The 25720-nt window shown below is 43.0% G+C and overlaps 1 protein-coding gene across 3 annotated transcripts in view, besides 1 other annotated feature; it reads right to left on the bottom strand.

The window, feature by feature from the left end:
• The window catches only part of PCSK2 (proprotein convertase subtilisin/kexin type 2), a 258472-nt gene that overhangs the window by 44154 nt on the left and 188598 nt on the right, over window positions 1-25720 (bottom strand). For all 3 annotated transcript variants that reach the window (NM_001201528.2, NM_002594.5, NM_001201529.3), the window contains 2 exons: window positions 10902-10990; window positions 3542-3717 (listed from right to left, as the gene is read on the bottom strand). In NM_001201528.2, coding sequence (NP_001188457.1) covers window positions 3542-3717; window positions 10902-10990 — 265 coding nt within the window. The remainder of the gene's footprint in view (window positions 1-3541; window positions 3718-10901; window positions 10991-25720) is intronic.
• Window positions 9001-9507: an enhancer, noted in NCBI's record as "H3K4me1 hESC enhancer chr20:17411563-17412069 (GRCh37/hg19 assembly coordinates)". NCBI's record gives its function as "activates a minimal SCP1, AML or CMV promoter by ChIP-STARR-seq in primed H9 embryonic stem cells {active_cell/tissue: H9 hESC(primed)}" and the evidence as "EXISTENCE:reporter gene assay evidence [ECO:0000049][PMID:30033119]".

The raw sequence follows: 25720 nt of genomic DNA, 5'->3' as shown, positions 1-25720 counted from the left end.
GAAATGTGTCACCCCTGCTGCCCTTTTCTATTCATTGTAGGTTTTAAGAAACCATATGTTAGGGTCTTAGGATCTCAGGGTTAGATGATTTGGATCCTCAAGATCACGTAGAGCAACACCTTGCAAACTTTAATGGGATCTTGTTAAAATGCGGCATCTGTGGGAGGGGAGGAGGCGCTGAGGTTTTGCATTTTTCACTCTCCCAGGTGGGCTGTGGCCACACTTTGAGAAGCACTGACTCAGACCATTTTGCAAAAAGTGAGGAATGGAGACATCGACTAGTCTGAAGTTCCCCAGCCAATGGGGGGCAGGACTGAGGTTAAAACTCAGGTCTCTCCACTGTCAAGAGCTCTCCACCTGCTGAAATATCCCTGCAACAGGACGGACCTGCTGCTGTGCAGTGTCGGCTCTCTAGTGAAGACAGAGACGTTGACCAGCATCCAGAAAAGCCTGATTCTGAGAGATGAGCCCCTTCATTTGGTGCCCTATGTGCTTCCTTCCCCTGGGACCCGTGACAGCTGTGGTTGGAGGTGCCCAGAATGTCACAAAGACCTGGAAGGGCCTGGCTGTGTCCCAAGGAAACTGTCTTTGCAAAGCAAGTCTGGGGGTTAGATCCAGCCTGTGTACCAAAGTTGGCCACCCACTGCGCTGAAGGGTTCCACTTGGTTTGAAATATTGTTTACTATTGTTTAGGGCTGAGACTCTGAGGAAGTTACATGTGAACTTGCCAATTTTTGTCCAGTGAGATGCTTTAGTCTGGTAAGACTAGGAATGTGTGTAAGCAAGCAACAATTTAGTAAGGATCCAAAGTTAGATTTCTCATGGCTAAATATAATCTAATCAGACTGAGCTCATTTCATCAATTCTTTTACAAATTTTACATTGCCTAGCATTCAGAGGCTTAGACTCACTAGGAATACAAACACGGACACAGGGACAGAAGCTAAGGGATGATTTTGGAGGCTGTGAGTGGTGAAGAGATGGAGAAAAATGGGGTGGAAGAGGCCGGGTGCAGTGGTGCATGCTTGTAATCCCACCTCGGGAGGCCAAGGTGGGAGGATCTCTTGAGTCCCGGAGTTTGAAACTAGCCTGGGCAACATGGTGAAACATGTCTACAAAAAGTTAGCTGGGCATGGTATCATGCACCTGTAGTCCCAGCCACTCTGGAGGCTGAGGCAGGAGAATCACTTGAGCCCAGGAGGTTGAGGCTGCAGTGAGCTGAGATTGTGCCACTGCACTCCAGCCTGGGTGATGCAGTGAGACCCTATCTCAAAAGAAAAAAAAAAGGTAGAAGAAAACCTAGTCTAAAAAACCAATGGTAATAGGCACACACTTAGTTCTAAGCTTCCTGGCAGCCAAAGGAAAAAGGGAAACCTAATGGGGTAAATTTTGAGGCAGTGTTTGTGGGAGGTGTTCCCTAGAAGCAGAGCCTGAGGCAGAGATTCGGCTGCCCCAGACTCATTGAGGGAGGGCTCTCAGGAGCAACCTGCGAGCAAGGAAGTGAAGTAAGATACAGAGGGGAAGGAACTCCAAAACTATGTAGTCTTGGGTAAAGCTTTCCCTTGGCCTGGCCCACAGGGGGCTCTGGACCATAAATTGCATTGAAGACTCCTCCCTGTTGGAGGCAAACAGGCTCCTGCCTTAGTCATCGGCTGTGGGCTGTGCCCTGGGTGTGGGGGGCATAACTTTCTGGGAGAGAAGATTCCATCGTCAAGGCAATGCTTCGTGAGAGGGCCCACTGTGAGCCATCAGCAGCCAACACTCACAGCAGCTGGGGTGGCCCCCAGGCCTGGTAAAGGGGATCTTGGTGGGCACCAATGGCATCCATTGTAGTCATAGATTTCGATGTGACTTTCAGCCTCTCAACCGTACCATTTCGTGTCTGCATTAATTCCATACCTGCCCCCTGAACAGCTCATCCACTATGTTCTCAAACCCCGGGCCAGTTCCTGAGGATGGTCTGGGCAGGAAAACACATGTTTTCTGACCTCAAGAAATGTATGGAAAAGCAGCCTTCAATTGCCCACTCTTATTTTCTTCAATATTCTCTTTTTTATGCCTGCGTTAAACATAGCGTTCTGTACATTCACTTATTTTAGTGTTATCAATGTATAAGTAATGAGTTTATGCATTTTCCATAAACAGACTGTACATAACTTAAATGTGTATGTGGAGCAGATGCATTTTATAAAATATTTATAATAGTGCTGGTTTCTATAGCCATTTCATCTATTTGAAATTTACCAAAATCTAAGAAGCAAATTTAAAAACATTCCCAAAATGGAGTTCCAAAAGCCACACACAAAATCTCACACACTGTCCTTTCCCTCACTTAACACCAGACAACTCACTCCACACACGGCAGTGACCTTGTGGTGTGAGTCCCACGTCCAGGCTGATTACAGAGAGTCCTCTGGGAGCACGGTGTGGGTGGGGGGGAACTGCTGGCCTGGCAGCCAGGACAGGCCTGAGAAGACTGCGTAAGCCTAGGGGTGGGAGCTGTGCCACGCGTGGCAAGTAGATGGATGCATCAGAACAGCTCATGAAGACGCAACAGTTTGGTAATGGATGCTCAAGTAACGAATCTATCGGCTGAGGCCCCAGGAATCATGGAGGACGGATGAGCCATCCCCAGTGTGCCCGGTCCAAATTCCTGACCCAGAGCATCCCAAGCGTAGTAAAGGAGTTGTGTTCTGTGCTATGAAGTTTTGGGGTGGTTGCTTAAGCGGCAGTCGAGACTGGGACAAATTCTGACTCTTTGCAGGCACTTCTCAGTGCCGAGCAGTTGCATCTTTATCTCATTTATACATCATAGTGACCCCTCATTATCACCGTTTTACAGGCGAGGCTAAGTCACTTCCTGATAGACTGGAGCCCAGAAATCCTCTGGTCCCTGAGCCTGGGGTCATGTCTCCTCTGGGGTGGCTCCAGCCCCAGCGTCTCAGAGAAGGGGCCCCCTTCCCCTCCCTATGCAGCACTGACCTGCATCTCATCCCTTTGGAGGCTCTGCCCAGCTTCCTTCTCCTCAGCTCTGTCCAAGCCTGGGCTAATCTCAGAGGAGCAGCTGTGAGAATGCATGCTCAGACCCCCTGCCCCACGAGCATTGTGGTCATAGTCTTGGCTGCTGCCTCCTGGATCTACCGCCCTGTGTGCGCCGAGACCCAAAATCCTGTGTGCTACTGCCAGCCAACGACTGAGTGGGTGGTGGGGGTGCCAGTGCAGGCCCCTTTCTGTCTGTGATGGGCAGCTTTGGCGTGGGGACTGCTGTCTGAGACCCTCCCCCCCCCGGCCCCTTCCTTCCCACTGTCGTTTGCAGGAGCCAGGTAGGCATCGCGTCTGAGGCTTTTCTGCCCTCTCTCCTTATCCATCACAGGCCTCCCTGCAGTCAGCCTCCTGCATGGCTAAGCCCCTGTGCTGTCTGATTCCTGCAGGACCTGGACTCACACACAGGGTGACAGTGGTTCACCCAGTTGCATCTACCCCTCCACCCACTTTGTCCCAACTTGTGAGTGGCCGGGGCCTAGGGGGCCGGCCCCCTTACCTTGTTCACGCCATCGGCCATGGCCTGCAGCGTGAGCTCCCGGGGCCCATCCACTGTCTTGCCGTTGTCTGTGGGGCCCCAGCTGGCGCTGTAGATGTCAATCAGCTGTGGCATATGACTGATGGAGGAGGCCTCGATGATGTCTGTCATGAATGGCTGGTCCAGCATCCGGATGCCTGTGGACACGTTGAGCAGAGGACACCATGTTTGGGTTCCCCAGTTCGCAGGAGACAAGGAGGTGGAGGAGGGCTTGGGCCCTGGGTACTTGGAATGGTTGGAGATCTCAGGTGCTCTGGGGCCACTGTGCAGTCCAGGGATCAAGAAAGAGGCACAGACGGTCCTACTGGCTCCTTTCTGCATCCCACCCACATCTTTGCTGATGTAATGATTTAAAGACAATTTTATTCCCCTAGCAAAACTTACTAGAATTCATGATGGGAGAGACCACCTTTGCTGAAGCGATGCTTTGATAAGCTCGTTTCTAAGTAGAAGCTTGGCCTCAGAGAACTGGGTGTTGGCTGCAGCCAAGTTTTAAGGGAGAAATAAAGCTACTACATATGATAGATGGGGGAGGCAATCAATATTTGATATTTGAGGAGAAATTCCAGCAGGCAGAGGGCAGAGGGCAGGGGACAGAGAGAGGGGCAGGGGCAGTGCAGGAGCGGGTGGGGTCAGGAAAGAGGAACTCCCATTTGCACTGTAGCTGAGAGGGACTTCGGAGAGGACAGAAAGGCAGAGATGGCTATTCTAAACTGTATTAGTAATTCTGTGTCTGACGGCTGCCTCTCCTTTCTTCCCTATAGCATCGCTGTAAAGTTTGTGTTCCTCTCTGATGCCTCGTGGGAGTGATTTCTCACAGAATGTTGGGAAGGAGCAAAGTCCTGCAGTCCAGGATAGTGTGGGACACACAATCCTAAGACACAGGGGCACAGGGTGAAGGTGCTGGCGCTGCCCCCGCAGAGCTGGTGCTCCTAGGCCTCCGGTCCCCGTTTGGCCATCCACAAAGGCCTCTCCAGGGGGATCTCAGTAGCCGCCATTGGGTTGGGTGTGCTGTCTCTCCATCACTACCCTCAAAACTTCGCTGACGGGGTCACATGCCTCTCTCCAGGCTTTGTCATCTGGATGGGTCAGTGGGTTCACAATTCTGTGGCATGGAGCTTAGAGTGCTAGTGAAGCTGACCTGAGTCTTTCCACCCACTGCGATTATGGAATGAAGGGGTTGGGCCATGCACAGTCAAAATCTGGGCCCCAAAACTCCTTCCTTGTCCCCGGTGGCCAAAGGATGTTGTGCCTGAAGGACACTATTTCACAAGCCTCACTCTCTAACATGGCGAGCACGTCAATCGAATTAAAAGCCACCCAGGTCCTTGCCAGGCAGCTGAAATGGACATGAAATTGCTTTCTTTCCTGAGGGACTACTACTTTCAGTCCTCAGGAGACTCGAGGATCTCACTTTCCTCTTCAGTGCTCATAGCCCTCTTCTTGTGTACCTTTAACCTTCTATCGCAACTACTTATTTGCGTGTTTCATATACCACCAGATGGCATGGTCTTTGAGTATAGGGCATGTGTCTATTTTGTTCACTTCCATGTCCTTGAGGATCAACATGATGCTTGGTATTTATTTTAAGCTTGACAAATATTTGGTGAATAAATATCTGGCATTATTACCTTATTTAGTTGATTTTCTCCCCAACACAAATAACAGGTCCAGAAGAATGAATAACAGGCTCTGCTTATCCATCTTCTACTATTAACCCATAAGTGTAATCACCATTTTTGACAACAAACACCCAGTTATCAGTTAGCATTCTTTCTCCTGGAGGAAGATTATCTAGAATAAGCCTAGTCTTTGGTTTGAACTTTCCAGATGTTAAATTTTATGGTTCATTTTATAAGGAGATAGGAAATTTAAGACTCTGTATTTTGCTTTTGGTCCACCTATGTTTTTATTTATTTAAAAACTTTATTTAATGCAGGTGACCAATGAACCACAGAATAAACTGGTCAGTGCAGCTTCTTCTTGTGCAAAGTCACGCCCACTCTGTGGGTGGGAAATAGACAGAGGCTGGCGTTCACTTGCTCAGATGCTCTTGAACTTGCCTAGTGCCAAGATGACCAGGACTGAATGGCCCACTCAACTGGAAGGTGAGAAATTCAACCCCGGCCAAAGCAGGTTTCTGCTGCCCCACAAACCAACGAATGCCAGCCCTGGATTTTGCCAGGGCTGGTGCATGGCACTTCCAGCTGTGCCTTGAACCCTCTTCCTCTTTGCAGCTCTTATCACCTTCATGGGCTCCCTCTGTGCTGCGCAAGAACCTCAGAGTGGATGTGTATTAATCTTCTGACTGTTTTAACATTATAGGGTGGCCACAGGCTGAGAGCAAGTCTCTCATTCATATTCAGGGACCAGGCACCCGACATTCTTTTAATCTTGTTAAGCTCAAGAGGAATGAGGCATGCATTAATTGAATGAGATACAGTATTAATTTTGCAAGCAACTGCACCAAGCCAAGACAGAGGCTCAGCGTGACCCAAGGGTTTTTAGGGAAGGCCTCTCCTCTGCCCCTGGATGCTCTAGGAGCTACAGGGGAATGTGGGGTGGAGACAGAGAGTAGACCGAGTGAGAGAGAGGGAGAGAAGGAGAGAGAGAGGGAGAGAGGCAGACAGACTGGGAGAGAGAGAGAGAGAGAGCGTAGATAGAGGGAGAGAGACAAAGAGAATGGGATAGAGAGAGGCAGAGGGAGAACAGGTAGAGAGAAAGGGAGAGGAGAAGGAGAGAGTGGGAGAGAGAGAGAAGGTAGAGAGAGAAGGAGAGGACAGAGAGAGAGGAGAGGGAGAGAGGGAGAGTGTAGGAGAGAGAGAGAAGGTAGAGAGAGAGGGAGAGGACAGGGAGAGAGGAGAGGGAGAGAGGGAGAGTGTAGGAGAGAGAAGGTAGAGAGAGAGGGAGAGGAGAGGGAAAGAGAGAGGAAAGGGAGAGAAGTAGGAAGGGGGGGGGAGGAGGAGGGGAGGAAGAGAGAGAGGGAGAGAGGGAGGAAGGGGGGGAGGAGGAGGAGGGAAGGAAGTGGGGGGAGAGAGAGAGAGAGAGAGAGAGAGAGAAATCAAAGGAGCTAGGAGTCTGTGTCTTCACATCCCTAACAATGCTGATATGTGTATTTGATGGGCAAGAACAGACACAGGCACACATCAAGTGTTTCTATCTGACCCCAGGCAGGCCTGCACAGCACATTAATGAGTAGAGGTGACTCTGTGGGTCTCTTCCATTCATTTAGAGCCTTCTCTGTCTGCCTGTGCAGCATGCACTGTGGCTAGCCCTGGTGCCCCGGGGGCTGCATGTCCAGGGGATTTGAGCTGCACCCTCTCTGCCTCTGCTCCTGTTGCACAAGGTGTGCCTGTCCCTGCCTCCAGTAAATACTACATCTGCCCACAAACTTCGGTGCTCATCAATGCCACTTTTTGTGCTCATGAATATTAGCTCTGGATGATAAGGAGGAAATTCATGCTCATCCAGGTTTTAGGTTCTGAAAACTCATGTTAGTCATTGTACTTACAGTGATTTTTACTTGTTTATTGAAAAGCTCAGATAAAATATGTTTATCTGCAGTGTTATGAGATTCATTGGCCAATAATAATAGTGATAATAATATGTGAAAGCACTTCATAGCTGGTAGAGAAATTTCACGGCATTTTCACAATGGTCAACAGTGTGGTTTTTAAATATTTTTCAAAATCTTCAATCAAAGGTGATCTCATCCCGAAGCCCGGTGTGTAAATCTGTGTGCTTTGGTTTAAAAAGGAAGGTGAATAGGACCAAACCCACCTGGCCTGGCCCCCTCTTAGGGCTGCTCTGAGAGTCTCTGCAGAAATCCAGAACAGTGAGGAACTGTAGAGCCCCACCCTCAGGCGCCTCTTGTCCCTGAGCCCTGGTTACTCTCTGTCCTCTTTCATGAGTTGTTATCTGATTTTTTTTTATTTGCTCCCTGTCTTTTTCTCCTCCTAGACTGTGAGCTATATGGGGCAGGGGACCTGTCCGCCAGCTTCCATCCCCTGCAACAGGAAGGTGCCCACAGTAACTATGGACCACACAAAAGGCCTGAAGGCAGGAGACAGTGTTACGACTCCTTGATGTGGTCTCGAGCTTTAATATTTTCAGAAATATACATTTGACAAATTTGCAAAAACCATCATTTGGAAGGTCATTGTTTGTGGTACATTTGCTTGGTTTTGTGGATTTTGAATAACACACTTAATTTTAATTTTTGACTCAATCTTTTTGATTGAAGATGTTGTTTACTTAAAAATTAAAATGAAAAAAGAAAGAAGGAAAGAATGGGGTCCTTTTTAAAAAAGACAGTTACTTGAATAAAGGCATTTTCAAAATAAAAAAAGTAATATTTTTCTTCAAAATTTATACAATTAAATCAGTGAAAATGGAAATGTAAATAAACTTTCAAATAATGTTCCTGGGGTTATTAAAGCTTGAAGACTGCAGGATGACTTTTGGGACATCCCGTATGTGCGGGTCTACATGTCACGGAGTTTGAAATGAAGACGGACGCGAAGAGAAATGAAGGAGAAGATCTTTGCATTGATTAAAATGGGTTAGGGGCTAACCTTTGGGACACACCAAGAATGCCTACAAATCAACAAGAAAAAGACAGGAGCCTTGATGGAAAAATGAGAAAAATTTATGAACAGAAGAGGAACTCAGGTAGATGCAGAGATGCTCAATGCTCTCTTCTGTTCAGAGGACTCAATTTACAATCTCCACTCTTCTTTTTTGAATCCCTGGGTTAAGATTCAACCACATTTTAACTTTGGGCTTTTTCTGGAGACAGCGTGGAGGGGTGCTGGGGAAGGACCTCAGACATCACAGGGGCGCCCCCCTAACCTGTAACGAACGAACACCTCGACTTTGAGACCAGCAACGATCCGAGTTGGCCACCAGGTGGCGCTTTAGACCTCCTTAGCCCAGAAAGCTCCCGAATGGAAAGATTCTCTGGAGGGTTTGGCTCATTTTTAGCAAATAATTAAAAACCAGCCAACTTTTGGAATTGCCAGCCAGGATGAATAAAATGTTTTCCTTAAATTTGTAAGATAAACTCTGCTGTTTTTGTAATCCATGAGTAATTCCCCAGTGCTTCCTCAAGAATTCATGCTGACGCCCCAGGGAGCCAGAGGACACTGGGTTCCCTAAGGCACAGGCATGGGACTGGAGCCTCGCAGCCCTTGTAGTTAGAACCAGCGTACGTGGTCACAGGGGAGCCAAGCTGGGGCTAAGGGAGTGGGAAAAGAAAGAAAGGAGCCTCCCTTGCTCAAAATCTTTGGATGTCTGTTCTTGGTTTCTGGAACCTCAAAACGTTGCTGTGATGCCCTAGCTGTCATTGGGCTTCACAGAAGCCCAGTCGCGTCTTTGAGGTGTCAGGCTGCATTCAGCAGGCGAGGCAGAGGCTGCTGCACCCACCGGGTCCTCTGGCCTGCTCCCTGGCTTTTTGCCTGGGGGTGTCCTCTGCTCAAGGAGCTCCACTCAGTTCAAGCGAGCTGGGCAGGCTGGACAGGCCCGACGGCACCCCCGAACAATGAAAGATGGGAACTGGCAGATTAATGCCGCAGCCTCCTCACATTAGCGGGGTCAATTCTGAGGGGTGTTCTCCACACTTCCTCAGAGAATTACCTGCAGGACGGGGCCCCTGTTGTCCATGAGACTCACTTCGTTGGCCTCCATTCCTTTCCTGTCTTCTTCCCCAACTCCCTCACTCTGGCTTCCGGGGACCACCTCCCACATTAACTGCTTGCCCGGAATCCTTGTCTCAGGTTTTGCTTTTAGGCAGAGCAAACTAAGACAGCAGGAGAATTAGATACATTTGATGAGCACTCAATGCTCAGGTGTTTTCAGAGTGCAAATAATAAGAGAAGAGGAAAAAAGGAAAAGAAGGAGATGGAAAAAGAAGCTCCCAGGAACCTCCAGAAAGCTGTGAGCTCCCCCTAACTCTTTTAACTTTTGCAGGTGGTCATTTTACTTTGTTCCAAAAACCAGTTACCTTGGGTGTGTGAACAAGAAATTCAGGTTTGAATTTTTCAGTTGCTTCCAGTTCTGTCCTGTGAGTAGAGAACCCGCCTCCCTTAGATTCCATCCCAGGTCTGAGCCTGGCTTATAAAATATTAACCGAGTGATATTCTTTCCCCTGAGCTCATAATGGCTCCTGACATTTTAATGCCAGCATTTTGGATGTGCACAAAGTAAAGAGAGCTGAAACCCAGGGGCTAAGCCTCCTCTATTTACATTTTAGAAACCTCCAGATGTATTCTTTTGTGACATTCAGCACCCAGTTCAGGCAAGCCTCTTAGCAAACAGTGTTGAAAAGAGGTTAATAGTGGGTTTGTATAGGTTACCTTTGCTTTATTTAGTTCCATGGAAATGGAGTGTCAGCAGAAAGTAGGTTTATGGTTCCATTAAATTGCCAGGAAAAGAAAATATCAGGACAGTTGTAAACAAAAAAGAAAAGAAAAAAGAAAAACAAGGTTGGGTGACTCAGCCTGAATAAATTAAGAATCAATTTGATGCAAAACTTGGAAAAAGACTGGTGCCACTCCATTCTCAGACATCTCGTTGAAAGCTTATGAATCTCTCAGTCTCTGTCTCTGTCTGTGTCTCTCTCTCTTTTTTTTTCTGAGAGGGGAGGGATATTGGGTTCTAAATTTCCAGTGACTTGCCACTCTTATTTCTAAAGGCTCCATCAATAGGAAATTCTTAAATATCCTACCCAATGAAATGTAAGAAAAAGGTTCTAGGCAGAATTTCTCTTTTTAAAGATGAGTTCCATTGTGCAAAACATTTTGAAGAGCTCTGAGTATGTTTACAAATAATTTATACACACCACCTTGTATTCTATAGTCTATATTTGAGACTCATTAAAATGTTATTGACACTGACACAGAAGAGTAGTGACTGACAATTCTATTTATATAAATTTCAAAAACTGGCAATAACCATTTTTTTTTTGCTGTTAAAAAACAAGATCATGATTATTCTTGGGTGTCAGAGTAGTAACTGGAAGGGGACATGTTTGGGGTGCTGGTTACATTTTGTTTCCTGATCACTGTATGGGTATGGCCAGTTTGGGAAAAGTCATTAGCTTATTTATGATTTGTTAACTTTTTTGAATTTATATTATGCTTAAATTAAAAATTTAAAACTATTGATATTGTTATGCAGGTTAAAAGAAAAAAATTTTTTTCACTTGTGCCAAATCTGTGGATCCTAGCTTTTCTGCACCAGTGGGATTTTTTGCTGGGCCACAGTCAGCCTTGAGATCAGTGTGATACCTAGTGGGGGCCTCTGTTTGGCAGGGATGGCTTACCTGCAACCTTGGAGTTGTATGCTACTCCAACTCCACAGATATTGTTGTTGGCGGCAGCAGAAACTTCTCCTGCACATCGGGTCCCGTGGCTTTGGAAAAATATAAAGACACATTAGATATGCAGTGAAACGAATTTGGCTAGATCTCTCATGGGCTCAAAATTCTCTTTGGAACAAAAATGAAATCTGCGTATCATATACAAGTAAACCCTGTGTCACTGAAGAGGTCAGCCCTTGTGTTAAAGTTCTGTGAAGACTTAAAGTGCTGAGCAAACCATTATCTACCTGTCTTTTAGTTTTCTGTAAAGCGCCCCATTTTGGGGTGGTTTGTAAAGCCGCAATAGAGAAATAAAACAAGTATAAGCTGAATCACTGAGAAGGCTGTGTTTTCAGACCCAAACAGCATTCAAGATGCAAAAGATTCCAATGGTACAAATCATCTGGAACTACCAGATCCAACCATGAAAAGTCCACTTTATTTATATTTATTTATTCTTTTTTTTTTTTTTTTTTTTTTTTTTTTTTTTGAGACAGAGTCTCCTCGGTCACCCAGGCTGGAATGCAGTGGTGCAATCTTGGCTTACTGCAGCTTCGACTTCCTGGGCTCAGGTGATTCTCTTGCCTCAGCCTCTTCAGTAGCTGGGACCACAGGTGTGTGCACCACGCCTGGCTAATTTTTTGTATTTTTTGTAGAGAAGGGGGTTTCCCATGTTGCCCAGGCTGGTCTCAAACTCCTGGGCTCAAGCGATCTTCCCATCTAAGCCTCCCACATTGCTGGGATTACAGCTGTGAGCTGCTGAGTGTGGCTAGAAAAGTCCATTTTAATGGTGGGTGGAACAACTACTGAATCAAATGGGCACATTCCCAGGTCTGCTGGGACAGTGCGAGTATGGCCTGCGGAATGCACAAGGTCTTTCCACTCACTGTTCAAATTGTGGCAAACAATCAGGAAATGTGGGTGAAGGGGTTCATTGGCTACATATCCCTAGGAATTTTCCATTTCTGCAGCATCAACTAGTGCACTGTCTGGGACATCCTCTTGGGGCAAGCAAAGCTATCGCACCAGCCCTTAAAAATATCACATGCAAGGATTGAAAATACACACACACACACACACATTTTCTTTCTCTGTATGAGTCAAAGTAAATCCTGCCTCCATAAAGGCTACATATTTCATGCCTCAAAATTCTCTTTGGAACAAGAATGAAACCCGCCTATCATGTACCCAGATATGTAAACCCAGTGTCACTGCAGAGGTCGGCCCTTGTGTTAAACCTGTCCCTGTCCTAAAACAGTTCACCAAAGGCTGGAGGACAAGTGTATGTGAACCAGCTTGAACAAAGTAAAGATATTAAATAAGTCTTCTGTATCTTAATTTTGGCCCTTAAGCGGGGGAGAGGAATGCCATGGGCTCTCCAGAGGAACATATGGGAAGAAACATTTCATTGCTAAATTAGGCAACACTAATTAGCAATCAGCCATAAATAGAGGTTTCTTACGATTGTTCCTAACACCAAGCCTTCTCACAACCCTGGGCTTTTGAATCTGGACTTCTCTTGTCATTTATTTTGACTGAAAGAATGTGGCAGAAGTGATGAGCCTGGGCCTCAGGAGACCATGTGGCTTTTCTGCTTTCTCTTGCCACCCTGTCTAGGCTCCATGTGAGTAAGCCCGGGCTAGCCTATTGGATGATGAAAGACACATAACCTGTAATGCCTGACACCCCAGTCAACAGTAATCCATCAACATGTGAGTGAGGTCATCCTAAACCAATCAGCCCCCAGCAACCTGCCAGCTGACCAGGGAGACAAGGGTGAGCTCAGCCAAGACAAGCCTAGCCTGGTCCAGATCAATAGAACTTTCCAGCCAAACTATAGACTTGGGAGCAATAATCAATGCTTATTGTTTCAAGCTACTGAATTCTGGAATAATTTGTTATGCAGCGTTATCATGGCAGTAGATTACTGACACAATGAATGAACAAGGCTAGAGGGACACCATGGCTCACGTGTGGGGAGCCAGGGTTCACAGCTGGACTGTCAGGGTGACTGTATTGGGGCTTTTGTGAATAGCCTGTATTGAGGGGCTGCTGGGGTGTCCAAATGAAAACCTGAGGCCCTGTGCGCAACCCTGTGGATTTCCTGAGAGAAAGAACAGGCACACCTTTTCCATCCACACTGCTGGCTTTTCCATCAGAGTGATTTGATCATCTCACTTAGTTTTTCCAGCCAAAAGCATGTATTTATATATGTACTACACTTAGGGAATAGTGTTAGATATATCCAGCAATATGAATAAAACAACCTCTTTTACCAGCACCTACTATGAGATGGGCCCTGTGCTGAGAGAGTTACATGTATTATCCTATTAAATCCTCACAACAGCCTATTATTATCCCCATTTTAAAGATGAGAAAACTGAAGCTTAGATAGATGTGAAGTCACTTCTCAAATAGGAGGCAGGACAAGAATTCAAACTCAGGTCTGCTGCTTCCAAAGCCCTGCTCTTAACCATGATCTTTAACTATCATGTAATCCTATTAGAAACATGCAGATTAAAATTGTAACGGTTAATTTCATTTGTCAATATGGCTGGGCCACGAGGTATCCAGACATTCAGTCAGACATTATTCTAGGTGTTGCTGCAAGGGTATTTTGGATGAGACTCACATTTCAATTTGTGGACATTGACTAGAGCAGCTTGTCCTCCATAATGTGCGTGGGCCTCATCCAATCACTTGAAGGTTTAAATAGACAAAAGATCTGGCCTTCTCTGAGAAGAGAGAATTCTCTGGAAGACTGTCTTTGGACTTCACCTGTAACGTTGGATCTTCCTGGTTCTATAGCAGGCTACCTTCAGACTCAAGCTGGACCATTGGCTCTCAGGGTCTCCAGCCTGCTGGCTCACCCTGCAGATTTTGGACTTGCCAGTCTCCAGACTTAGGTGAGCCAATTCCTTATAATGAACCTCTTTTTATATGTATACACATCCTACTGGTTCTGTTCTCTGGAGAACCATGACTAAAACAAAAAGTAACTAAGTAATTAAATCTGCTTTTGCTGGTTTCTTAGTTCAGTCATTTGCTAATACCCATATTAGTCTGTTTTCACACTGCTATGAAGAAATACCAGAGACTGGGTAATTTATAAAGGAAAGAGGGTTAATTGACTTACAGTTCAGCATTGCTTGGGAGGCCTTAGGAAACTTAAAATCATGGTGGAAGGCACCTCTTCACAGGGTGGCAGGAAGGAGTAAATGAGTGCCAGCAGGGGAAATGCCAGATGCTTATAAAACCATCAGATCTTGTAAGACTCACTCATTATCATGAGAACCGCATGGGGGAAACTGACCCCATGATTCAGTTACCTCCACCTGGTCTTGCCCTTGACACATGGGGATTATGGCAATTACAATTCAAGATGAGATTTCAGTGGAGACACAGAGTCAAACCATATCACCATTCAACTAGGTATTCTGGTACAGTATTGTCTCTCACTCTGTAACATGGTTTTTGTTGGTGGCAGAAAATGCTAAATGGTCACCAGTCATTCTCTTTTCTCCCCAGGCTGCAGTAAGGCTCCCATCCTCCCTTGCACTTGTATGTGGCCATGTGACTGAGTTATGGCAAATATGTGAGCAGATGGGTAAATGCTATTTGTTAACCTGGCCCATAAAAATTACCCTTGGGCAATTATTCACTCTCTTTCCCCTCAAGTAGTTTGATGCAAAAAAGCCCAGGAACATTGGAAACCTATGCCAAAGATGAAAGGAGTCTGCATCCCCTAATCACTGCTTAGAGGAGAGCTGCTCCACCAGGAACACAGAGATGGACTGGTGGGTGAGTGATACACTTCTTTTGGTGCTAAGCCGCTAAGCCACTAATATTTCAGGGCCAAGATTTATTTGTTACAGCTACTAGGATAACATGAACTAGCACATTTTAATCTTATTCCTATTGATTATTCCTATAATTTTATTAGATCCTACTCGATAAACTGTTTTGGAAGGATAAATTCTAATAATAAGTGACATAAACTAATTTGAAGGATCCCACAAAAAGAGATGTTGGGTGACAAGGATCAGTACAAAGCAGTCTTTGATGAACAGAAAAAAAATGGCTGCCTTGTCTAGTGGTCGAATTCCCCTACCCTCTCACTAGGTGTGTGCAGGGTGCATGATGGACTTTTGGCATTCGTTTATTTAATGCGCACTTTGAGGCTGGTGTGTAGAAGTGGGTCTTTTAATGGTGAATGGGCCTGTCTGACACTTTGGGGTTTCCATTTTGGCTCAGGCTTATTATTTAAATATGTGAAATTATGAAATATTTAAAAAAATATAGACAATTTCAGTGAATAGTATGATGACTCTCATATAGCCACCATCCAAGTCTATCAAAGCCAAACATTTTTCTTACTTTGGATTATTTTTAGAAAAACATAATTCTTTATAGGCTGGGTGTGGTGGCTCACTCCTGTAATCCCAGCACTTTGGGAGGCCAAGGTGGGCGTATTGCTTGAGATCAGGAGTTCAAGACCAGCCTGGAAACCCCGTCTCTACTAAAAACACAAAAAAATTAGCCAGGTATGGTGGCCTGTCTCTGTAGTTCTAGCTACTCGGGAGGCTGAGACATGAGAATTGCTTGAACCTAGGAGTCGGAGGTTACAGTGTGCCAAGATTACGCCACTGCACTCCAGCCTGGGTGACAGAATGAGACTGTCTCAAATAAAAATAAAAGGCTGGGCGCTGTGGCTCACGCCTGTAATCCCAGCACTTTGGGAGGCTGAGGTGGGTAGATCACGAGGTCAGGAGTTTGAGACCAGCCTGACCAACATGGTGAAACCCTGTCTCTACTAAAAATACAAAAATTAGCCAGGCGTGGTGGCGCGTGCCTGTAATCTCAGCTACTCAGGAGGCTGAGGCAGGAGAATCGCATGAACCAGAGAGGCGGAGGTCACAGTGAGCCGAGACGGAGCCACTGCACTCCAGCCTGGGCGACAGAGTGAGACTCTGTCTCAAAAAACAAAAAACAACCCCCTCCGCGCCAAGAAACAACATAAATCTTTACAGATACAATTTGAGGCCCTCTCTGATGCCATTCCTTCCCCTCTTTGCTTCCTCAGAGGTAACAAGTGTACTAAATTTGCTGTTCAGAACATTTTTATGAACTTATAATCAGGTATGCATAAGCATACATGTCACTCTTTGCATGTTTCAAACTGTATAAAATTTCCTAGTGTATGATCTATGTAAAATTGGCTTCATTTGCTACATTTTCTGAAGTTAACTTGTGAATTCTAGTTCATCCATTTTTAGTGCTGTGTAGTAGTCCATTTATAAATATGCTGTGATTTATTTATTTATACTTCTAATGATAGGTATTTAATTTGTTTGCAATTTGCTTGCTATTACAAATAATTTGAAAAGAAACATTCTTGTTTATTATTTCCATGTACCCATAAGGAATAGTTTCTCTGAGGTCTTCTTGTAGGATTTAAAACAGGTTATATGGCTATGTACTACCTCCTTCAAGGTGTGAGCAATCCTGTTGCTCAATCCTTTTCAACATTGATCATTGTTGAATGTTACCATTTTTGCTAGTCCAGTTGGTGTGAAATGGTATGTTATTGTTTCATTTTGCATTTCCTCATCACTAGCAAGGTAATCTTTTCATAGGCTATTTGGCTTAGATTTTCTTTTCTGTGAATTTCCTGTTAATAACCTTGGCCCATTTCTTCTACAAGGGTATTTATTTATTTTTCATTGATTTGTAGCTGTTCTTTACAAATTTTCTATATTAAGCCTTTTTTTCCATAAAATTTGCTGCACGTCTTCTAGTCTGTGGCTTGTCTTCCAAATTTATTTATTGTGACTTTTTTTTTTGTACAAAAGTGTTTAATTTTAATGTAGCCAGCTTTATTAATCATTTATTTTTCCATGTGGTTTAGTGGCTTAAGAAATCCATCCCTAATTTACATTCTGTAGAGAATCCTCTGCCCTTTCCAGATCTTTTTCCAATCCTGGAGAGATTAGCTGAGAGTCTAGCACCTTTTAAAGGTCTGAACAGGAATCATCTGTCATCTATTGCCTCTAAGAGTGGCCACTTAGGAGATTCATCTACATAAAAAGAACCCTGGTCTCCACAAACCCTTATCTTAACCCAGACACACCTTTCTATTGATTCCAGGTCTTTAGGTAATAATTCAACCAATTGCCAATCAGAAAATCTTTGAATCTACCTATAACCTGGAAGCCCCTGCTTCAAGATGTCCTGCCTTTCCAGACCAAGCCAATGTCTACTTCACATGTATTGATTAATGTCTTATGTCTCCCTAAAACATATAAAATCAAGCTCTGACTCAACCACCTTGGGCACCTGTTCTCAGGACCTCCTGAGGCTGTGTCATGGGTCATGACCCTTAACCTTGGCAAAATAAACTTCTAAATCAATTGGGGAGAAAAGGGAAGAAATCAGTCCCTATGTCATGATCATAAAGATGTTTTTCTTTATTTTTTCCTAAAAGATTTATATCCATTTAGGTCTTTCATTCTCCTGGAATTTATTTATGCTCAGTATGTGGTGTGGGTGCCTATTTCTCCCCATGTGCATAGTTATCACATTTATTGAATACCTTCACTCCATCATTTCCTTATTGTTTTTATTGCTATCTTAATCATATATTAGGGTTCCTTTTATGTGGTGTCTGTTTTTGCACTCTCTATTCTGTTTCTTGATCTTTTTGTCTCTCTGTATGCTAACCCTACAATCTCATATTATTATGGTTGTGTAATGTTTTGGTATCCGGTCGGCAAAGCTTCCCATCTTGCTGTTGTTCTGTTGTTGCTGAACTTCAACCTCATCTTCTTCTTCTTTATCTTCATTCTCTTCCTCTTTTTTCTCCTTTTTTCCTCCTCCTTACTTGTCTTCTTCTATTTTGGCCACTTGTTTTTCCATATCAATTTTAAAACAATTTTGTCTAGTTCCACTGAATAATCTATTGAAACTTTAATTGAAATTGCAATGAATTAATATATTAATTTGATATGATATCTTTATATTGTTCCATCTTCTTATCCCTGAGCTTAGTATGCCACTCTATTTATTTAGGACTCCTTTATTCTTTTGTAAATTTTATAATTTTCTTCTTAATGATCTCACACCTTTTCTTAGATTTATAACTATTTGATCAGCTATGAAATGTAGCATAGTGTTGAATTAAAGGGATGATAGGGAGAACCCACATCTTGTCAGACTTAGAGAATGCTATCAAAGCTTCACCATGAAGAATAATGTTTGCTGTAGGTTTTTGATAAACAGGCTGTTATCTTCAATTCGATAATTAACTCCTCAAGTGCATCCAGGCTAGATTTTATACCATTTATTGAGATTTTATTCCACAGGCTGTATTTTTCAGCTGCAATTGGTTCTTTTCATGTCCATGCTTTTGTTTTTGCCTATGTTTCCACCATCATTTAGTTTTCTTTAAAATGTATGTCACCCATGCATTTATCACTCTGAACAAACTAAAAATAACTTATGATAAAGTCTTTTTCAAGACTGCTTCATAGAACCGATTTCATATAGTACAAATTAATATCCTGATTTTTAGTTTTTTTAGGTGTATTTTTTTCAGGCATTTTGGAATAGTGGATTTTAGGATAATTTTGATGTGGAGATATTTTTTCGTCTTTTTTTTTTTTTTTTTTTTTTTTTTTTTTTACCTCTCTTCCTTTCCTGGCTACTGGTCCTATGATTGTTTCAATTGACTCCTTAGTTCTGTTTCTGACAACCAGTTTCTACAACAGTGTTTCAGGGATCTGCATTCACAGAGATAAGGAGATAAGACAGATTAGTCAGCAAGCCAGTGTGCAACTTGGCTAAGTTCATGCACATGAGGCTGTCTTTGTCTTCTGGTCTCCAGTCTCTCTGCATCTACAGATTCTTAGACAACAGAAGACCCATGGTGGCCAGCTGCAGTCTTTTCACCCTTGGCTTTGGAGAAAGAAGCTCCAGTGTTAGACATATTAGAACTGAAATGCAGAGACTTCCTGGCTAGTTTGGCGTCGACCACGTTTGCTGGCTAATGTCCAATGAGCTCTACAGGGTAAGACTTTGGGGTTTCAAGAGCCTACTTGATAGAATAGATGAGAAATGAATAGCTCAGGCAGAATAGGTTAGAATAGGTGACAGGTGAGAATGAGCAAAGCTGCCTCTGGGGAAGTCCCTGAGTCTGCTGGCAAGCACCCATTGCTTTCTGGAGAAGTGAGCAGACTCCTCATCTTTCTGAGGCCAGATGCTAGACATTTCAAATTTCCTAATAGATCAACTTTGTTTCATGCATACAAGGTATCTTTGGCTATAACTCCTTTTTCAATCAGCAATGCAGAAACACAGGCACTAGAATCTTGACAGAGAGTTTAACCTTGAGCTGACTGTTATCCAGTTTCTGTCAAAAGCTTAAATGAGAGAGCAGATGTCTGAGAAAGGTGGGTGAATGCTACATTTACTCCTGTAGCATAAATTCTCCTACTTTTCTTTGTCGTTGAATAATCTTTGACTTAGCTCCTGTAGAAATCTCTTTGCTGAATTTCACAACTCTATTGGTTGTCGGTTAGGGAGTGCTTACCATGTGCCATGCTCTGTACCAAGCACTCTATACCTGTCTTGAATCCGCAGTACAAGCCTTCAAGGTGGGAGCTTTAGTCCCTGTTTATAGATAAGGGAACTGATTCAGGGATCACTCATTCCATACCAAGCAATTAACATAATATTACATTTGTCTACATAATGTGCTGTATTTCTCTCTCTTAAGAAAAGAGTTATTGATTGCCGTCTGAGTACCATAAAATCTCTATATGGCATGTACACATTAGCTTACAAAGTAGAACTAATTATACCCAAATATAGGTCTTTCTTTTACCATCTTTATAATTTTCTCCATAACCCCTAAATCTATATTACATCTACTCCTTTTAGCTGAAGGAAAAATTTAAATAATAAATACTTTTCTAATCCAGGTAGGGGACTAGAAATTTAAAAATTAAATGCTGTTGGATTTCACTGTGCTCTGGTTTGGATGTAGAAAGGGTTGGTTACAAGCAGTAACCTTTGAGCTAATATCGACTGATGAGGTAGTCTTAAAGCTCACATGAAAAAGACTATGTCTTTGAAAACAGTTTGCATTTTATTATCCAGGAGGTGTTTCAGAATTAGTTCATAAAGACATAAGGGAAAGATGTTCATCTACTCCCAAACCATTAAGTATCACCAGGGTAAGGTATCAGCTTACATCAGTGTGAAAATAGCCAACCAGAGAGGGCCTTTTTTCTCACACTTTTTTGTGGCCTGTTGCTTGGGGTTCTTCAGAATGAAGTATGACTTTTAATAAGAAAATAAAAGTTAATCCCAGAAAACCTTTCTTATTTGAAGGTTTAACTAATGCTATCAATCACATTGGCTCACAAAGAGATAAATGTTCTTCAGCCTCCATTTATCCATCTTCCTTCCCTCCATTTTGTTTGCTTGAGTAATAAATGTCTTCTCTCTTCCTGAATTTATAGTAAACTTTCTGCAGCCAAGAATTGCATCTAACCTAGAATCTCTCACTGTTTAGGGTTTAATAGATAGAGTATGCTGCGTCCCCAATGCTTCATAAATATCGTCAATGGCAGGGATGACATTTCAGTAGTGAACACCTGTCAAAGAAATGCTATGCAAGAGAGATTTTTATGGACAACAGCACAGTAATGGAATACAGATCTGCAATGCATCACCAAACATTGACCTAAAATGAGCAGGGCTGCAAGATTATTGACAAAACGTGGGCTGCAGACCTTGAGAGCAGCAGGCAGCTTGACAATGGACAGATGTCAAGGCCACTCAACATCTTGGCATGGTTGAAAGGTATGCCACTCATCTATCAACCAGTCAGTCAATATTTTTTGAGTGCCAGCAAGGGAAAAAATGTGATGCTAAATCCTGATAGCTCTCAGCAAATCAGTTATATCTGTTTTGCACATTACTGATGCTGATTAAATGTGTATTTTCTACCTTTTTACAATTTGAGTTACTATTATTATTATTTTGTTTGGTCAAATGTATTTTGCTCATTGCAAGCTAAGAGAAAATTATACTCTTTTTGAAAATGTCTTAACTGTATTTCAAGTACATCCCTGGAGCTCAGATACTGCATGTAATTATTAAATGGTTCACAGTAGAATAAATACGCTTGCTCTGCTTAAACAGGAATAATCCAACAAAAGCAAATCGAGCACAAGGCAAGCTATTCTAATATACACATTCCCTAAAAGCAGTTCTGCATATGTATGAAGTTTGTTTTCCTAAAGCACCCTTGGCGTGGAGTTTAATAAAGGAAAACAATGAGTAAATGCAGAGGGTATGAGATGATGGTTTAAAGTGTCAGGAAAACCTAGGAGAGATGTGTTGCTATTGAACTCAGTCTCCCAACCAAGGGGAACATTTTACTTCTTTGAGTGTCCCCTATAGTGCATTTTATTTTCTATTTTCACAGCAGTGAGAATCTCGTGCTGGACAGCCGCTGCCTTTTCCTGTGAAGCAATTGCTCCTGCATTGTAACTAGCCTTTGTGGCAGTCAGTGTGGCTGGAATAGTTAATAGCAACAAGCCTATCGCTGCTCAGCATGTCAGCCCTATACTGGAGTTTCAGGGCATGCTGACACCAGCCTTTCTCAAGAGCCCCAACTCTGCTGAACAGAGATGGGGCATCGGATTTGGTGCCTATGCCCAGAAAACACCTGAAGAACCTGTGGGATGCCTTGGTGTCTGCACAGCTGGTGGGAGGCTCATGCTGGGTCCTATGCCAGCCAACAACAAGTGCCAGGCTCCAGGCTATTGGGGCTTCTGAGAGTAGCAGCATTATCTTGAGTGTAATGAGAGAATGAGCCTCATCTATGCCCCTGGCCCAGTTTCTGACCCAACCACAGAATTTATTTCTTTCTCCTAGCAACTTTTTCAACCCTTTTATGCTCCACCTCACTTGCGGATCCTTCTTAGAATGCTGCCTCCTGCACCAGCCTCCAAATCCCACAGCAGTTATCCAGACCACCTCCTGAACATATCCTGCACCTCCCCGCCAGCCTATCTTTGTCCAGATTATATCCTTGCCCTGGGATACATTCGTTCCCTACTCCCAACTCTACCTATTGCCTTAGATAAAATCCTAGACCAATGACCCACTGGCATCAAATCCTGCCTCCACTTCTTATTAGCCCTGTAACCTTGCACAAGTAACTTAACCTCTCTGTGCCTCAGTTTCCAAAAGGGGAAAATCATAATACCTATTTCAGAGGGTTACTACGAGAATTAGTTGAATGAATACATGCAAAACACAGAACAGTGCCTTAAATACAGTAACTGTTCAACTTGCATTAGCTGTCCTTGTGTTATTTTAGTCTGGGCTACATTTTTGCATTGTAGTAACTTGGGCATCTGTTGCCCAATCATTTGACATTGCAAGCTCCTTGGAAGCTTGCACACCAAAACAGTTTCATGATACCAAACTGAAGTCCTAGTTTTGTTATTACCTCTTTTTATGCCGTATGCTAGTTAAATTTACTTCTTGTTATTAGAAAAAAATCAAAAACATACAAAAATAGAGTAAAATCCCATGTACTCATCACAGAGCTTTAACAATGATTAACCCATAACCAATTTTATTGCCTCTATACTTCAGTCATTCTCTTCCCTCCTGCCACAAGCCATAAGTAATACTGAAGAAAACATCAGGCATAATATCATTTCATCCCAGAGGGGTTTTGAAATAAACATATCGTACACTCATGGAAGGGACGCTTTATTCAAATTCTCCTTCACTCAAGCAGGAATCATCTTCAGGGTAATGGTGATGTTTTGAACTAAGGATTTTCTTGGTTCTGTGGACTTGAGCTTCACCTCACCAGCCTCCCATAATCATTTACAATGGTAGTTATGTTTGAAAGTAGCTGCGATTTGAGTGGTGGCATCATCCAGTCTTTGTAATAACAAGCCATAGTGCGTGAGGATCTTTGAAAATGACTTGATAATTGAAAAGAACCCATTTACTGGTCAAAGTGGACACTCTGTCTTAATCATTGGCTCCCTAAGGCATGGGGATCATGCTTGCCTGAGTCACTATGACTGTGTCTTGGGTAATTGGACACTTGGGAATTCTTACCGCTGACAATGATGAGTTTTATTGCCCTAAGCACTAATTAGTCCTAATTGGAGGTTTTTAGCTGGTTTAAAATTATAATTTTGAGAACAAGTTTGCAAATGAAATATTTAAGAGAGAAGACATTTCCTTAGTGTTTTTAGTTTTTCTTAAATTTTCTTTTTTTTATACTTTAAGTTCTAGGGTACACGTGCACAACGTGCAGGTTTGTTACATAGGTATACATGTGCCATGTTGATTTGCTGCACCCACCAACTTGTCATTTACATGAGGTATTTCTCCTAATGCTACCCCTCCCCCAGTCTGCCACACCCCCTGACAGGCCCTGGTGTGTGATGTTCCCCGCCCTGTGTCCAAGTGTTCTCATTGTTCAATTCCCACCTATGAGTGAGAACATGCAGTGTTTGGTTTTCTGTCCTTGTGATGGTGTGCTGAGAATGATGATTTCCAGCTTCATCCATGTCCCTGAAAAGGACATGAACTCATCCTTTTTTATGGCTGCACAGTATTCTGTGATGTATATGTGCCACATTTTCTTAATCCAGTCTATCATTGATGGACATTTGGGTTGGTTCCAAGTCTTTGCTATTGTCAATAGTGCCACAATAAACATATGTGTGCATGTGTTTTTATAGTAGCATGATTTATAATCCTTTGGGTATATATCCAGTAGTTGGATTGCTGGGTCAAATGATATTTCTAGTTCTAGATCCTTGAGGAATCACCATACTGTCTTCCACAATGGTTGAACCAATTTACACTCCCACCAACAGTGCAAAAGCGTTCCTATTTCTCCACATCCTCTCCAGCATTTGTTGTTTCCTGACTTTTTAATGATCACCATTCTAACTGGTGTGAGATGGTATCTCATTGTGGTTTTGATTTGCATTTCTCTGATGACCAATGATGATGAGCATTTTTTCATGTGTCTGTTGGCTGCATAAATGTCTTCTTTTGAGAAGTGTCTGTTCATATCCTTCACCCACTTTTTGATGGGGTTGTCTTTTTCTTGTAAATTTGTTTAAGTTCTTTGTAGATTCTGGATATTAGCCCTTTGTCAGATGGGTAGATTGCAAAAATTTTCTCCCATTCTGCAGGCTGCCTGTTCACTCTGATGGTAGTTTCTTCTGCCGTGCAGAAGCTCTTAAGTTTAATTAGATCCCATTTGTCTATTTTGGCTTTTGTTGCCATTGCTTTTGGTGTTTTAGTCATGAAGTCCTTGTCCATGCCTATGTCCTGAGTGGTATTGCCTAGGTTTTCTTCTAGGGTTTTGATGGTTTTAGGTCTAACATTTAAGTCTTTAATCCATCTTGAATTAATTTTTGTATAAGGTATAAGGAAGGGATCGAGTTTCAGCTTTCTACATGTGGCTAGCCAGTTTTGCCAGCACCATTTATTAAATAGGGAATCCTTTCCCCATTTATTGTGTTTGTCAGGTTTGTCAAAGATCAGGCAGTTGTAGATGTGTGGTGTTATTTCTGAGGCCTCTGTTCTGTTCTATATATCTGTTTTGGTACCAGTGCCATGCTGTTTTGGTTACTGTAGCCTTGTATTATGGTTTGAAGTCAGGTAGCGTGATGCCTCCAGCTTTGTTCTTTTGGCATAGGATTGTTTTGGCAATGCGGGCTCTTTTTTGGTTCAATATGAACTTTAAAGTAGTTTTTTTCCAATTCTGTGAAGAAAGTCATTGGTAGCTTGATGGGGATGGCATTGAATCTACAAATTACCTTGGGCAGTATGGCCATTTCCATGATATTCATTCTTCCTATCCATGAGCATGGAATGTTCTTCCATTTGTTTGTGTCCTCTTTTGTTGAGCAGCAGTTTATTGTTCTCCTTGAAGAGGTCCTTCACATCCCTTGTAAGTTGGATTCCTAGGTATTTTATTCTCTTTGTAGCAATTGTGAATGGGAGTTCACTTATGATTTGACTTTCTGTTTGTCTGTTATTGGTGTATAGAAATGCTTGTGATTTTTGCACATTGATTTTTGTATCCTGAGACTTTGCTGAAGTTGCTTCTCAGCTTAAGGAGATTTTGGGCTGAGACGATGGGGTTTTCTAGATATACAATCATGTCATCTGCAAACAGGGACAATTTGACTTCCTTTTTTCCTATTTGAATACCGTTATTTCTTTCTCTTGCCTGATTGCCCTGGCCAGAACTTCCAACACTATGTTGAATAGGAGTGGTGACAGAGGGCATCCTCGTCTTGTGCTGGTTTTCAAAGGGAATGCTTCCAGTTTTTGCCCATTCAGTATGATATTGGCTGTGGTTTTGTCATAAATAGCTCTTATTATTTTGAGATACATTTCATCAATATCTAGTTTATTGAGAGTTTTTAGCATGAAGGGCTGTTGAATTTTGTCAAAGGCCTTTTCTGCATCTGTTGAGATAATCATGTGGTTTTTGTCATTGGTTCTGTTTATGTGATGGATTACGTTTACTGATTTGCATATGTTGAACCAGCCTTGCATTCCAGGGATGAAGCTGACTTGATCGTGGCGGATAAGCTTTTTGATGTGCTGCTGGATTTGGTTTGCCAGTATTTTATTGAGGATTTTTGCATCAATGTTCATCAGGGACATTGGTCTAAAATTCTCTTTTTTTGTTGTGTCTCTGCCAGGCTTTGGTA

This window comes from Homo sapiens, chromosome 20 (assembly GCF_000001405.40).
Source record: "Homo sapiens chromosome 20, GRCh38.p14 Primary Assembly".
Lineage (NCBI taxonomy): Eukaryota > Metazoa > Chordata > Mammalia > Primates > Hominidae > Homo > Homo sapiens.
The sequence above is the reverse complement of the archived record's forward strand: the minus strand, read 5'-3'. Positions and strand labels throughout refer to the sequence as shown.